Genomic DNA, 15,722 nt, shown 5'->3' on the forward strand with positions numbered 1-15,722 from the left:
GGGTATGTTGTTTATGGAATGCCATATAATGTTTCCTCCTTTCAGGTTTCCTCTGATCCCCCTGCTCTAGTGCTTTCTAAACTCTTCTCCCTTTGGTGCCAGACTTCTAAAAGTTAGGACCTGTGTGATGCCATGGGTAGTATGTCAAAGGGGTAAAATCAACTTGGCTATGGCCACAGGGCCCTGGGCATGGGAAGGCCTGGGAGGTAATACCTATGGCTGTAACTGCCAATCTTCAGGTGGTTATTACTGGATTGTCTTACATCTTTGAACTGAGACCAGAGGGAAACATATTGTATCTACTTAGTTTCTAAAATTTCAGATAAGGTAATGTTATTTGTGTTTGCCAATCCACGATTTCATGTGAAATGAATTGATTGATGACTTAATAGATGCACCCAGTAAAAGTTGATGATAAATAATATTGTACCAACCCAACTACCCCAGCCAAGGAGACTACCTCCCTATTCCTAATTCCACTCCCTCCCTCATCCTGCTTATGGTCAATTGACTTAGTGACTTAGAATCAACCAGTGGTTCTCAATCCTGGCTACACATTAGAATCACCTAGGGCTCTTTTAAAAACACCAAAGCCCATGCCGTTTCCTGAAGCAAATGAATTAGAATCTCTAAGGATGGAGCCAGGACCATCTGTAATTTTTTAAAAAGCTCACCAGGTGATTCTGATGCACAGTGACAGTTGTGATTCACTTGATAGGAGTATAGTGCCCATGAGGCCATTAAAAGCTGTGAGCAAGTCAACTGCTGCTATTTCATGGCCAGAAAATGGGTTCCTGAATTCCTGGTCTAATTTCTTCATGAGCGGGATTAAGGGAGAGGACAAAGATGGTTCAATAAAAATCCATCATCCACTCCCCTGCTCCTGCTGAAAAAATTCTCTCTAGCACACAATTCTTTCTGGTGAGATCACATTCTATTATATCCCAGCAGAGTATTCCTCTCAGCTGTCAACATTTCCTCACCACTTACACATCCCTGCTCAGAATACAGAGAAGCTTAAACAAGCCTTCTAAATAATTAAAAACAATTGAATACCATTGGGCCTTTAGAGTGAATTATTTTCAACAGTTTCATTGGAGATGTAGAAAGTGAGAAAATACCGCTTTGCTATGAACTGGAAAGTGACTTGGTACTTTCCTCTTGCATACCCAGCCAGAAGAATGTTTCAGTGAGTGACCACAGTTTTGTGCCTAGACAGCTTCTTTGATGAGGCAAAAGACTGGAAGACCCTCTGAAAGTTATACACTGGACTTGTATTAGTCAAAATAATTAGATTTTCCTAAAATAAGCTAATATTTGTATCTAATTAAAGAGCCACGCGAGAAATCATTAAGCTGACTTAAGGTAAGAGACAAGTATTATCTGAGCTTGAAATTGCAAAAGTTTTACAACATTCTGTCGGGGCTGTTTTTTGAGAGGTCAGAATGTATGCTTTTACCTGATTTTGTAGGCTTAGGTGGCTTCATCTGTGCTGTCTTCTCCTGTTTATGGACACTGGAAGTGAACATCTTTTTAGGTTGGTTTTCATTTGCAGAGCCAGCTCCCTTTAATACAAAAATGAAAACAGAAAGCTTGTAAGTTCTGACATTAAAATGGCAGATTGCTTATTCAGAGGACCATAGAGTGCAAGCCCTGTCCTGGGTACTATGAGTTTAACAGTATCCAAAAGGAAAGAGATTAGAAATATAGAGATAGATAAGGAGAGAAATAGCATTGAGCCTTTTGGCTTAAAATTTAGGTTCACAAAACCTAAGCTGGCTCAAGTTTACCACCTTTCAGACCAGAAAGAAAGAGCTGTCTAATTTTACAAATAGTGAAAGCAGGTTAACAAGATAATTATTTAACTTGAGAACAACCTTTTCCTTAGCACTTTACCAGCACTTAACAGCAAGCTAACAGAACATGGTAGTTGCAAACAAATCTGATCAATTCACTGAAGTGAGTTCCATAAGATTTCTACTTTTCAAAACTAGCTGACATATGACTTGAAGCATTTCTCACATTAGAAAGTAATATAACTGTAGGTCTTTCCAAAATTCTGCAGTTTATTCTTTTCAAATTAACCTCTTCATAATTGGTCTAAATTAATGAGTTTATATACACTAATGTATCCCTCCTGACAAAAGCTTTAACCAGGCTGAGAGCAGTGGCCTATAATCCCAACACTTTGTGAGGCTCAGGCAGGAGGATCACTTGAGCCCAGGAGTTCAAGACCAGCCTGGGCAACACAGTGAGACCCATCTCTACAAAAAATTTTAAAAATTACCTGGGCATGGTGGCGCACACCTATAGTGCCTATAGTCGCAGCTACTATGGCGGGGATGAAGGGGAAGGATCGTTTGAGCCTGGGAGGTTGACACTACAGTGAGCTGTGATTGCACCACTGCACTCCAGCCAGGAAGACAGAGTGAGAACCTGTCTCAAAAAAAAAAAAAAAAAAAAAAAAAAAAAGCTTTAATAAAGGTGGGCTTTACCCCTCTATGTTCCTGTCCCCATGTAAATACTAATGATGAAAAAGAAAAGACCTTTAAAGCAAAGAGTTAAACACCTCCTCGCACAGTCCTTCAACAAATTTAGTAAGCACTTAAAAGTATAGGAGCTTAGACATATCTCTTGATATATGAATTTGGTATGTTTCCTTGAGTCAGTTTTCTGCAGGTTTGATAAGAGGGGAGAAAGGCATCATCCCATCATCTCTTATCCACATGTGGTAGTTAGCCTAGTTTACCACATCACATTTTATAACTTACAGGTAGGTGCCACACCAAACCAAATCAATATGTAGAAATCCAAACATCAAACACAGAAAGGGAACTTGTTGTGTACTGATACAGAAAAGTGCCCAGAAATAAAATGTTAAATGAAAAAAACAGTATTTAAGTTTGATTCCATTTATAAAAATATATATACATATTGATAGGTATAAAATATCTGTAAAGATAGTCACTCAACTCTTACCCCAGTGATTACCTTTAGGTATTTTTTTAAGCTATGAGGATGCAAAGGCATAAGAATGATACAATGGACTTTGGGGACTCTGAGGGAAAGGGTGGGAAGGGGATGAGGGATAAAATACTATGAACTGGGTTACAGTGCACCAAAATCTCACAAATCACCACCAGATAACTTACTCATGTAAACAAATACCACCTGTTCCCCCCAAACCTATGGAAATAAAAAATTAAAAATAAAATAAAATGACTTACTCCTTATTTCTCAACCAATTTCGTGGAGCCTTGCTTTAGAATATTGAGGGCAGGATTTGTTTTGCAGATTCTCTCTATGTTCATGACTTTGCACAACACCCCCGCACACACACTTTTGAGACAGGGTCTCACTCTGTCACCCAGGCTAGAGTGTAGTGGCGTGATCTTGACTCACTACAGCCTCCATGCCTGGGCTCCAAGTGATCCTCCCACCTCAGCTTCCTGAGTAGCTGGGATGTCAGCACATGACACCACACCCAGCTGTGTTTTTGTATTTTTAGTAAAGATGGAGTTTCAGCATGTTGCCTAAGTTGGTCTTGAACTCCTGAGCTCAAGCAATCCACCTGCCTTGGCCTCCTAGAGTGCTGGGATTATAAACAAGAGCCACCGCACCTGGCCTGCACAAACCCTTTAAGAGCATAAAAGCAGGGCACGTTTGTATAAATACAAAGCAAGTCTTTTTCCCTGAAGAGTCCTCCTGCCTTGATTAATGTTCCCAAAGAGAGGGGGAGCTGCATGTTGGCAAAGTTCCCAATAGAAACCTAATCAGTGATTCCAGCAACCTTTTTGGAGTGTTTTATTGGCTACCCCAGGTCCTACCTCATATTTAGGCTCCTTAGTCTCAGCATCGGCTCCAGCATTGCTCTTAGTTTTCAGCTCTTTCACAGAAATGTGGGCCTTGAAACTCTTCTGCTTCTGCTTTGCCATAGTTATCCAAACCGGCTCTGAGACAGCATAATCTGACTGTTGACCAGCAGGCTTTCCTGAGAAAGAAATGAAAGGAGTTAGAACTGAAGCAAGGCAGGCAGGGTCTTGAGCCTGGTTGGGGCTTACCCACAATAATATCCCAAATGGGACCCTTGTTAATTGCCAAAGGAAAATAAACAGATATCAAACAGAGAAGGCCCCCCTTTTTTGGGCCCTCCCTATAGCTTGGCAAGGCAGGAGTTCCTTGGGTAGTAAAGAAGCTGTACTTAAAAGTGGGCCCTTCCCTTGTCCATCCCTGGTGCCATCTGCAAATCAGAGTAGGACAACGCTTGCCAGGTGGGCTGGGAAAATCCCAAGGATGCCAGAGGCTCAGGCCATTGATGCCATTCCTCTAACTCCTAGAAAAATCTTTGAAAAATCTTTGAAAAATCCTAGAAAAGTATTTGTTACTTCATAGTCCCTCACACAAGTGTGTGGTTACATAAGTGTGGTTACAGGAATATAAAAGATTTTTCCAAGGATGGAGTGTGAAGGTCCAAAGGTTTTGGGAGACATTCGTGCCCAAAAGATCGCCTAGCTCTAAATTCTTAGATATTTCAGATGAGCGAAGAGACATTTATGGCAAATTAAGATTTCAGGCTGAGAGACTGAACATAGTGCTCTACGAATGAGTTGGCTTTAAAAATCCACATGGTGTTAGGGAGGGGCTTAATACATGTAAAAGTATTTTGAGAAAAGCATAAAATTCCATCCAAATGTAAGGTGTGCAGAGGGTGAGGAAGAGGGAATGGGGAAATGGTCATGTGTCTACTATGGAATGTAGATGGATGTCCAGAGGGGGATCCCATTAGGAAAGGGAAGGCTCAAAATTAACTACCTCCAAATCTATTAAATCTAGAATGGGGCACTATTTTGCTCCCAAACTCATAAACCAGCCCTATCAAAGCCACAATTCAGTAAAAGACTAGAATAGACTTTAATGCCCATTCAAGGCTTTGCTTTCCAGTTGTTTCCACTTGATATCTGCTTGCCATCTGGAGAGATAAAAGCCTTACCTGGGGTCTTGCAAGCAGGTTGCTTCTTGGCCATGCTTTCAGATTTGGGCCTGCTCTGTTGCTTATCTGCAACGTAAGATATTTTGGTGAGGTTCCCTGCAGCATCCAGGAGCCCCTGGGAAGTGCTTCTGATTTTATGTCCCCTGCCTACAGAGGATGAAATTGGGCCCGAGGGCACTGAAGCAAGCTGGGTGAAGTTATCTTGTTTCTCACTCTTATACTTCTGCGAGGGAGGGGCTCTTTTCAGTCGAACTCCAAAAAGCTTTTCAACATCATCCTGATTGGATAGGTTTGCATGCTGGTTATTATTACCATCACCACTCTCAAGATCTTCTTTCTTAGAGTAAATGCCCCCAGAAGTGGATGTTTGCCTGACAGGAGCAATGGTGAACTTCCCAGGTTTGGTAGCAGGGGCTGGAATGCTCTTTATGGGGTTTTTGGAACCTTGGCTGAATTTCTTGGTTTTGATTGCAAAAGCTTCATCTCTTCCTAGGAACCAATTGTCAGAATTGCTCTCAAAAACAGATCGCCTAGCAGCAGCATTCACAGAACTTGAATGAACCTGTTGCTGGAAAGGACTACTTGAAGGCAGGTGCTTCTCACCGCTGCTCTGCTTTACAGGTACATTCACTGGGCCCTTTGATGACATCTGTGGCTGGAATTTAGACCTATCTGAGGCTTGGGAAGAATGTTTGGGAGGCAGCTGCTTTTTAGAATTCCTCCACTCTTTAGGAGAACTGGCAGAAACAGGGGAGACTTTTTGCTCATACTCAGGTTTCCTCAAGGCCTGGGAAAGCTGCCTGGGAGACAGCTGCTCTTTAAAACTGCTGCACTTCCCAGGAGCTCTCTCTGAATAAGAGAAAACTTTCTGTGGGTCTTCAGGCCTCCCCAAGGACTGTAAAGGGTGCTTCATAGGTAGCATCTTTGAAGAAATGCCTCCCTTAGGATTAGCACTCCCTGAATCTGAGAAAACTTGGTGCTTGACTTCAGGCTTTGATAAAGATTTGGAAGGAAGATTGGGAGGCAGAGGTGCCACATCACTGCCCCTCTTAAGAGCAGAGCTCTCTGAAAAGATTTGCTGTGCCATAAATTTCACGAATGACTGGGTCGGACGCCTGGGAATCGGTGATTTGTTAGAAGTGCCTTCAACAGCCATTTTCTCTAGTCGTGAGGTCATTTCCTGAACTTTAGACCTCTTTAAGAACTGGGTAGCATATTGGGGAGGCAATGGACTCCCAGAAATGTCTGCCTCAATAGCAGCCCGCTCGAAATTTGAGGACAGTTGCTGGACTTTATTTCCCACAGTCAACTGGGAAAGATGTCTGGGAAGCAGCTGCTCCTTAGAAATGTCCTCTTCAACAGTAGTGCTTTCTGGATGTGCAGAGAGTTGATACAGTTCCTCAAATTTAGGGGTCACCCATGGCGGGGAAGTGTATTTGGAAGGTGTTGGTGCCACAGGACTGCTCCATTCTGCAGAAGTACTCATTGAGTCCAGGAACTTAGGCCTCTCCGAGGGCTGGGAAAGGCATCTGGGAGGCAGCGGTTCCACATAAGTGCCTTCCTCAACAGCTGTGCTTTCTGAGATTTGCCGGATTTGAGGATCTGTCAAGGACTGAGGAGAATATCTGGGGAGTAGTGGCTCCACAGAAATGACTCTCTCAACAGCAATGTCCTCTGAACCTGAGAACATGTTTTGTTGAACTTTAGGATTCATCAAGGGCTGGCAAAGAAGTTTAGGAGGCAGAGGCTTCATAGAAATGCTCTCTTCAACAGCCATGCTCTTTGGAGATGAGGAAACTTCTTGCTCCACTTTAGGGTTCACCCATGGCTGGAAAGGGTGTCTTGGAGGGATTGGCTCCACGGAATCGCTCTGTTTTATAGAAGTGCCCACTGAACTGGTGGGGACTTGTTGCTGAACAGTAGGATTCATAATGGGCTGAGAAGGGCATCTGGAAGGCAGCTGCTGCATAAAATCATTCTGCTCTTCAGGAGTATTATTTGAAGCAGAGGAGACTTCTTGTTGGTTTTTGGGCTTTCCCAAGGCCTGAGCAGGGTGTCTGAGAGGCAGGTCTTCCTCTGAGCTGCTGCAATCATCAGAAGTGTTGTACTTTTCAACATAACTGCTTGATTCTGTGAAGACTTCTGCATCTTCAGGCTCCTCTAAAGCCTGGGAGAGGCATCTGAGGTCCAGCTCCTCCTCAGAGCTGCTCAAGTCCTCAACAAAACTTTTTGATTCTGAGAAGACTTCTTGTTCATCTTCAAACTTCCCCAAGGACTGGGAAGAGTGACCATGAGCCAGTTCTTCAGAACCATCCCCCTCCTCAGGAATATTCTCTGAATCTGAGGAGACTTCTTCAGCATCAGGCTTCCTTGAGGACTGAAAAAGGCTTCTGGGAGGCAGAGTCTTGGCATAAACATCTCCTTTGGCTGTAGTACTTGTCATACCCAAAACACTTGCTGTAAAGGTCTGGTGAACATTTCCAGAAGGCTTTTCTTTGCAGATAGTTTGAACATCCTGGGCTGACTCCATTTTGGATTGGGCCTTTTGTAAATCAAAGCTGAAAGCTTCTTGATCTTCTAACTGGATATGAGAAGGATTCATAAACACCTGAGCCTCTGCTGCTACTGAGAGAATGGCCTCCTCTTGGGTTGTAGAAAGGCTTTCCACCATCAGTGAGAGAGAAGCTCTGGCTTCTGTCTTCTCAGCTCCAGAAGCTGCATCTTCATGGTATGGTTGTGGATCACTAACCATGGAATTGTCCATGTTTTCAGGTATGGGCTGTGCTGCTGATGCTTTTCTGGATCCGAAATCTATGCCAGCATTTCTCCTTCCCATGTCATCTTTATCTGAAAGCAACCCCTGAGGGGTAGTGGTTTCTGGTTGTGAAGTTGTAGGCTGCTCCATGTTGTCCTTCTCTAAGGACAAGTGCGAGAAAGGGACATTCCTGGCAGTCTTATTGGTAGGTGAAGACCCAGCTCTATCGCCCAGGCCATACCCTTCACTGGATTGTTTAAGGCTTCTTCCTTTGAATTCACACCCACTCAATCCTGAAACACTTGCTCCTTTTCTTCTCCATCTTCTTCCATATGCTGCTGACATTGGATAGCCCTGACTCCGAGAAGCATCAGTGTTTGGAGCCTGGTCTGTTGTCTTCTTATCATACATCTCAGTTTTGTTGTTCTGTTTCTGGCTTGAGGAATCTGCACCAAACAGAAATAAGGAAAGGAGAAATATGTGTGACTTTCACTTCCTAAAATAAGAATACTGTGCCCTGGCCCAGTGGTACCTATTTGCTACTAAATTTCCTAGTATGAGGAAGCAGCTATTTGGAAGACAGAGGGCAACATGGTCACTATTAGGTTTCTGCAGTTGGATATTTTTAAGCCAAAGAGAAATCCTAGTTCTAGAAACTGACTCCAGGGTTGGCTTATCACCTTTTTACCAATAGTCTGGTCCACCATTCAGTGTGAGACACATCAGAAGGCAAATTTTGAACCTGTAACAATGACTACCTGTGGGGAAACTGACTGGGGAAGGAGGAATTGAATTTTTTACTTTCTAATTAGCATTTCTATTTTCTACATAATATTTATCTGAACTACCTGAAATTTCATATCATGTGCATGTATTGCTTTTTTTTTTTTTTTGAGACAGAATCTCGTTCTGTCGCCCAGGCTGGAGTGAAATTGAAAATTAAATTGAAAATTAATTATGGTTCTATTTTACACTCTACCCAAAGACAAATTTCACACTTTGAATTCATACATCATACCAGGCTGCAGTGGCGCGATCTCGGCTCACTGCAACCTCTGACTCCTGGGTTCAAGCAATTCTCCTGCCTCAGCCTCCTGAGTAGCTGGGATTACAGACACATGCCACCACGTCCAGATAACTTTTGTATTTTTAGTAGAGACGGGGTTTCCCCATGTTGGTCAGGCTGGTCTGGAACTCCTGACCTTGTGATCCACCTGCCTCGGCCTCCCAAAGTGCTGGGATTACAGGCATGAGCCACCGTGCTTGGCCATGTTGCTTTTTTTTTTTTAAGAAGGGGTCAATAGGAGTTATCTGGGAGGCAAGATTATGGCCCCCTTTTCTTCTTTTTTTCTACCCTCTTACATTAAAACAATCCTAGTTGTTTTTATTTCCAAGATGCAGATTGGAGGCATTGTTAGCATGTCTCTCCCACTTGGAAAGACAAATAGCATGTAGATATTCATGCTGTGAGCTTTTTCCAAGAAGCAACACAGGAACTTAACAGAAAGAGTGAAAGAAACCACAGACCCTTTGAAAGAAGTGATGGGCAGCAGCCTACACTGTGAACCAGATGGAAAACTCCCCATAGGAGACAGTGAACCTGCGCACACACCCAGCACATCACTACTACAGTCAGCATCTGAGAAAGCCATCACACAAAGATACTCTGCAACCAAGGAACTCATACAGAGTCTTCAAAACTGAAAGCACCCAGAGCTGAAGCCAGGTGACAATAAACTATAATAATCCATTAAAAAGTGGGCAAAGGATATGAATAAACAATTCTCAAAAGAAGATATACAAATGGACAACAAACATATGAAAAATGCTCAATGTCACTAATCACGAGGGAAATGCAAATTGAAACACAACGCGATATCATCTTACCTCAGCCAGAATGGCCATTATTACAAAGTCAAAAAACAATAGATGTTGGGATGAATGTGATAAAAAGAGCATACTTATACACCGCTGCTGGGAATGTAAATTAGTGCAACCTCTGTGGAAAACAGTATGGAAATTTCCCAAAGAACTAAAAATAGATCTATGATTCAATCCAGCAATCCCACTACTGAGTATCTACCCAAAGGAAAAGAAGTCATTATATCAAAAAGACACCTGCACACATATGTTTATTGAAGCACAATTCACAATTGCAAGGATATGGAATCAACCTAAGTGCCCATCAACCTATGAGTAGATAAAGAAAATGTCAAGCACATGCTAGTAGTTGTACAGATTACTCCTCTCCTTTCTTCTAGTACTTTTCTAAGGAACTCACTTTGATCCCCAGATGGAAGGGTCCCTCGCTGCCTTTCTTCCCTCACTATCTGCTGCATCCCTAGCTCCATCTAGGGGTTTCATACCCAGCATACGGCGCTGAGAATAGCTGACTGTGCTCCAAACCACTTTCATGATATGGAAAATCAACTAAAGAAAATGTGATACTACTCAGGCATAACAAAGAATGAAATAATGTCTTTTGTAGCAACCTGGATGAAACTGGAGGCCAATATTCTAAGTGAAGTAACCCAGGAATCGAAAACCAAATACCACATGTTCTCCCTTATAAATGGGAGCTAAGCTATGGGTATGCAAAGGCATACAGAGTGGTATATTAGACACTGAAGACTCAGAAAGTGGGAAGGGTAGGAGGGGGTGAGGAATGAAAAACTACATAATGGGTACAATGTACATTACTCTAATGACAGGTGCACTAAAATCCTAGACTTCACCACTATACAATCCATCTGTGTAACCAAAAACCACTTGTACCCCTAAAGCTATTGAAATAAAAACATTTTTTTAAACCGATCATATGTAATACACATGCAAAGAAATTCTTGGAATGCCTTAAGAATTGCATTGGTCCACAGGCTTCAGGTCAAGCACAAGGTAGTAGTTGTACAGATTACTCCTCTCCTTTCTTCTAGTTCTAAGGAACTCACTTTGATCCCCAGATGGAAGGGCCCCTTGTGCCTTTCTTCCCTCACTATCTGCTGCATCCTTAGCTCCATCCAGTAGTTTCATATCCAGCATACAGCGCTGATAATAGCTGACTATGCTCCAAACCACTTCCATGATATGGAAAATCAACTAAAGTATCTGCCACCATGGATACTGACTCAGTTCTATCCTCTGTGTGTAAAAGAGACAACTATTAAAAAATAAAGCTCAAAGGCTGGGTGCAGTGGCTCACGCCTGCAATCCCAGCACTTTGGGAGGCCAAGGTGGGCAGATCACAAGGTCAGGAGATTGAGATCATCCTGGCTAACACGGTGAAACTCCCTCTCTACTAAAAATACAAAAAATTAGCCAAGCGTGGCGGCGGGCGCCTGTAGTCCCAGCTACTAGGGAGGCTGAGGCAGGAGAATTGCTTGAACTAGGGAGGTGGAGGTTGCAGTGAGCCGAGATCATGCCACTGCACTCCAGCCTGGGTGACAGAGTGAGACTCCGTCTTAAATAAATAAATAAATAAATAAATAAATAAATAAATAAATAAAAATAAAGCTCAAAAAGACAAAAGAGTACTCATTTAATCTTCCTTTTTCTTTTTTTTTCTGGAGGGTTTTGTGGTTTTCTTAGTATTCATGGGAAAACGTGTTTAGGAATGTCCTGTCTTTGGACCCACATGTGAAATCCTTTGTGGCAAAAACGTAACATAACTATTCAACTTAATTTGAGGAACTGGAATTTTTTTATCAAATACTGCTAGAAATCAGCTTGCCATCAACTGGAGCCAACATCCACATATGCACCCACATAAACACACAGAGAGATTTTCACTCTGGTGATATTTGTTGTTTGGGGATTTGATAGGTGTTGGCTGCCAAGGACATCTGTCTGCAGCTGCATAAACCCTCTTTGTCCAAGGATGTGGGCAATAGTATCATTATTAACACAGACATTTTCTCTCTACAGGAAGAGAAAGGCAACTTTAAAAAAATGATTTTTTGGCCAATTCTATTATTCCTTTCTGGTTCTGCTGCTGAGGAAGAATGCTGAAGGGGAAATCAGTGGTTGTCCTCTCATATCTGGGCTCACTGAGGAACTCAGCATGTACGTTAGCCTCGGAGAGGATGAAACAAATTCACAAACAAAACACCTCTCTTGTTGGAAATTCATTTACATAAAATAAGAATCCAGGTATGATCCTTTACCTGAACCCCACACAAGTGGCAATTGTATTACTTTGGCAGTTTAGATGGAGAAGCCTGGACAACATTTTCTGCATATAAAATTGAAAGCTCTCTGAAGACCAAGGGCAGCAGTCTTGGGTAGTTCTTGGGTATAGCTCCTATCAACATAGCACTGTGCAATGAAGTCTGTCATACATGTTTCTGGGTGAGGGTGAAGATATGCTAACCTGCACTGTCCATTCCCAGCTTCTTTTCGTTGATTTCTTTTGGTTTGGTTATGCTCTTTTCTTCTTCAGAAACCAATGGAAGGTTTGGCTCCTCCTCCTTTGGTTCCACCTGAAACAGGAAAAGAAAGAGCTTGAATCCTACTGAAGTGCTTTCCAACCACGCCTGCATGGTTGCCAAAGAAAAAGCATCAGGAAAAAAGTTCTTGATGCTGGGCACGTAACAGTACCTTTAAAGATGGACGTTATTTCAATGGAGATATTTCCAGGGATTTCTTAATGGAATTGTTTCCACCAAGAGATCCTTGGGGATCATTTTACCTACTGGAAGTGGTTCATCCAGGTTTGGAGTTTCTAATGTCTGAGTGACACACTGCAGGGATCCCTCTAAAATACCCTGGAAATGACTGAACCACACTGGAAGGCCACGAATCTGAAAACGGGGTCATTGGGCCTGACAACAATCATGCCCTCGGCCATATTGGGATTCTCCGATTTGCTTCACCAGACCTGTGAGTCAAATTCAAATCCTTTTTGGCTTCTTTTCAGGGAATGTAATGAAAGCATGAATTATCTCTTTCCAGATCAAAAGAAGAAAAAGAATTGGGGTTTTGTTGGGAGGGAAAGGAGAAAAAGCTGAAAGGTTCAGCCCTTACACTGGATGGGCTGAAGTTGGTTTAGTATAAATAAGGTTTTCTGATAATTACAATACAGCTCTGGAAATGTCAGCATAGCACTGCACTGAACAGTGTCCGGAATTTGCTTAGTGTAAGCCTTTATGGCATGCATGTAAAGACAAACATGTAACTCTTTACACTCCCACTCAAAGTGCCTGTGCAAACAGACACAGCTCATAATAATTTATTTTTGAGTAAACGTGGTCAGATTGGCCTGGATTCAAAATCTCTTCATCATTTACTTGCTGCGTGACCTTGGGCAAGTTATTCTCTGAATCACTGTGTCTACATCAATAAATAAGGGACCAGGAGAAACCTCCTGTGGGACTTGTAGATCTAAGAAATTACAGAGCAGGGAGAAAGTGGTAGTAGTCCCTGTGTCATAAATGATCCTGGATCTTTTTTATGTTCATCCACATGTCAGAGAGAGAGTCACAGGGAAGAAGTGGATGCTCTGGCCTTCTCAGAGGGTAATGCCCGGGCTTTTTCTCAACTAGGCTATACAGAAAGAAGAAAGTTAGAAGGGTCATACTGCTTCCCTCAGCCAACCTTCTCCATCTCCCAGGTTTGTGGTGAGGTATTCAGGGGATAATGCATGTATAGGGTTTGGCACCTAGTAATTGGTCACCCCTTCTTTGACACCAAACTAACAAGGTACTCTCAAGGCCACCAGAGGGCTTCCCTCTGCCGCCCTGCTCCTCCACCTGTTCTTTCAACTCGTATTTTGTCTAAAACCTAAAGTGAAATTGAGATGCCTAAGCTAGAGGCAAGATGGTGGGATGAAAAAAGTGTTGAGCTGGAAGTCAGAAGACTGGATTCTGGCCCTAGCTCTGCTATCACCTGGGTGTTTGACTTTGGGTAAGTATCTGAAATTATTTGTGCTTTAATGCCCTTCTCTGTAAAATGTTTGTACTATACAATCTTTTAGTCACTTCACCTCTGATTTACAGTCTCTTCCTTTCAGCCCAGAATCACTGGCGAATTCAGTTTTTGATCAAAGTGAGTTTTATAGACAACTGACACATCGTTTTAAACACTAAACACTAACATTTTTTAACTTTTTTTTTTTAAACGGAGTTTTGCTCTTGTCCAGGCTATAGTGCAATGACACAATCTCGGCTCACCACAACCTCCACCTCCCGGGTTCAAGCAATTCTCCTGCCTCAGCCTCCAGAGTAGCTGGGATTACAGGGATGTGCTACCACACCTGGTTAATTTTGTATTTTTAGTAGAGACGGGGTTTCTGCATGTTGGTCAGGCTGGTCTCACACTCCTGACCTCAGGTGATCCGCCCGCCTTGGCCTCCCAAAGTGCTGGGATTACAGGCATGAACCATTGCACCCAGCCCTAATCCTTAACTTTTACTAAAAGCCTTTTCCAAAAGCATTATTTCTCTATCTTTTTAAACAGGGATCACGGAAAATAATCTACTTTTTCTAGATGACTTGGACAAATAATAAAATTATCTATTACATTGGACTATGATATAGTGTGGCCCTGAAGGACATATTGAGGTGGGCAAGGTTCTTGAGCCCCTATATTAAATGGCCCCAGATTGTTTCTGTCATTCTGTCTGCTACCAGCTGTCACTTCTCTTTGCTGTCAGGTCTGAGTCTAATCTGTGGCCATGTTTTTAACACAGTAGGTCTGCTTCCTGGAAAGTCATGTGGCATCTATTTGGAGATCTTTGGATGGGTTAACAACTAAGTTCTGGATGTTTAGGGTTGCTGAAAGCTTGATCTCCAAATAAGTGGAATAGTGCTGCAATTTGTGACTCATGGGTCTCATCTGATTAATAACTGAAAGAATCCTGATCTGGGCTAGGGTTGAATATTCTCTACAAATAGGGCTGAGTGAACTCCCAGATGTTAGCCCAATAAGCAGTTTATGGGGGTTTAAATCATTTACTGTTTCTGCTTCCTTTTAGTCCCTTCTAATATAAGTTCCACATGGATAGGAAACCACACCCAGCAGATGCAAGCTTGCTCACCCCTCTGGGGGTGTCAAGCTTAGGACAGCACCCTTGACCTTGCCAAGCTTACTTAGGGCATGAGTCTCCTACACCATACTATTTCCCTAGTAGTAGTTTGCAAAGGTTGGAACTCATCTTTTCTTATACAGGAGTTTAGTGCCCTGTCTCTTGAAGGACTTACAATCACTTGAAGGTTCTTCTTTTGTTTGCGGGGATTTAAAGTCATTTTGTGGCGAGCAGCTGAAGAATCCAAACAGCCCTGGGTGGTGGCTGGGGTGCTGAAACCAATGGGCAGCTGGGTGCTACTGGTAGAGGCAAGTGTGGCAAATGCAGTCAAGGACTGTGAGCAATCAGGTCCAGATGATAACTCAGAGAAGCTCTGGGGAAGGTGGGAGAAAATAGACGAGTCAACCCGTATGCTGTTACTGGTCTCAAAAGTTGGATATTCTTCCGGCTGAAGAATTCCCAAAGAAGAAATCCTTCATGAACTATTGTCCCCTTTCCTACATTTCCTGTCAATGGGCTTATTCATTAGAGGTAAGCTCCATAATTTTACTGGTTTTCTTGCAGATGAAAACAAGAAACAGGAAGAAGTTTGGGTTACTCCTCTGCTTAGAAAGCTTTCAGGGGCACCCCATTGTCCTTGGGATGGGAACACAACCACTTAATTGAGTTTGCAAAGTCAGAGAGATTGCATGTTCTCTTGTCCTAGATCCCCTTCTTATCAACAGGACATCTGGCTGGGGTGAGAGGAACAATTGGTATCAGTGAAACCCAGCAGAGCTCTGGGATTTCTATATTGGAGGGTTGGGTGGAGGGAGGAAAATCAGGTTGGAAGAGGGCCTGTCTGCAAGGTGCATTTTCATAGACAGCACACTACCTTTTATTTATATTGACAGTTCATGGGTGCAAGACTGATGGGAGGACCCTCAGGAACTGAATGCTCTAACCTCCAGTGGGATAGT

General features: G+C 42.7%; 1 protein-coding gene across 4 annotated transcripts in view; it reads right to left on the reverse strand.

Moving 5' to 3' along the window:
* KIAA1210 overlaps positions 1 to 15,722 on the reverse strand; it is a 72,496-nt gene that overhangs the window by 2,921 nt on the left and 53,853 nt on the right. For 2 of the 4 annotated variants that reach the window (XM_017029688.3, NM_001394962.1), the window contains exons 7-11: positions 14,939 to 15,136; positions 12,112 to 12,220; positions 4,991 to 8,191; positions 3,828 to 3,991; positions 1,460 to 1,565 (exon numbers count right to left, since the gene is read on the reverse strand). In XM_017029688.3, the coding sequence (XP_016885177.1) occupies positions 1,460 to 1,565; positions 3,828 to 3,991; positions 4,991 to 8,191; positions 12,112 to 12,220; positions 14,939 to 15,136 (3,778 nt within the window). Of the gene's footprint in view, positions 1 to 1,459; positions 1,566 to 3,827; positions 3,992 to 4,990; positions 8,192 to 12,111; positions 12,221 to 12,433; positions 12,542 to 14,938; positions 15,137 to 15,722 lie in introns of all 4 variants that reach the window. The other 2 variants (NM_020721.1, XM_017029689.3) reach the window with 2 other exon arrangements.

Source organism: Homo sapiens, chromosome X (genome assembly GCF_000001405.40).
Source record: "Homo sapiens chromosome X, GRCh38.p14 Primary Assembly".
In the NCBI taxonomy this organism is placed as follows: Eukaryota; Metazoa; Chordata; class Mammalia; order Primates; family Hominidae; genus Homo; species Homo sapiens.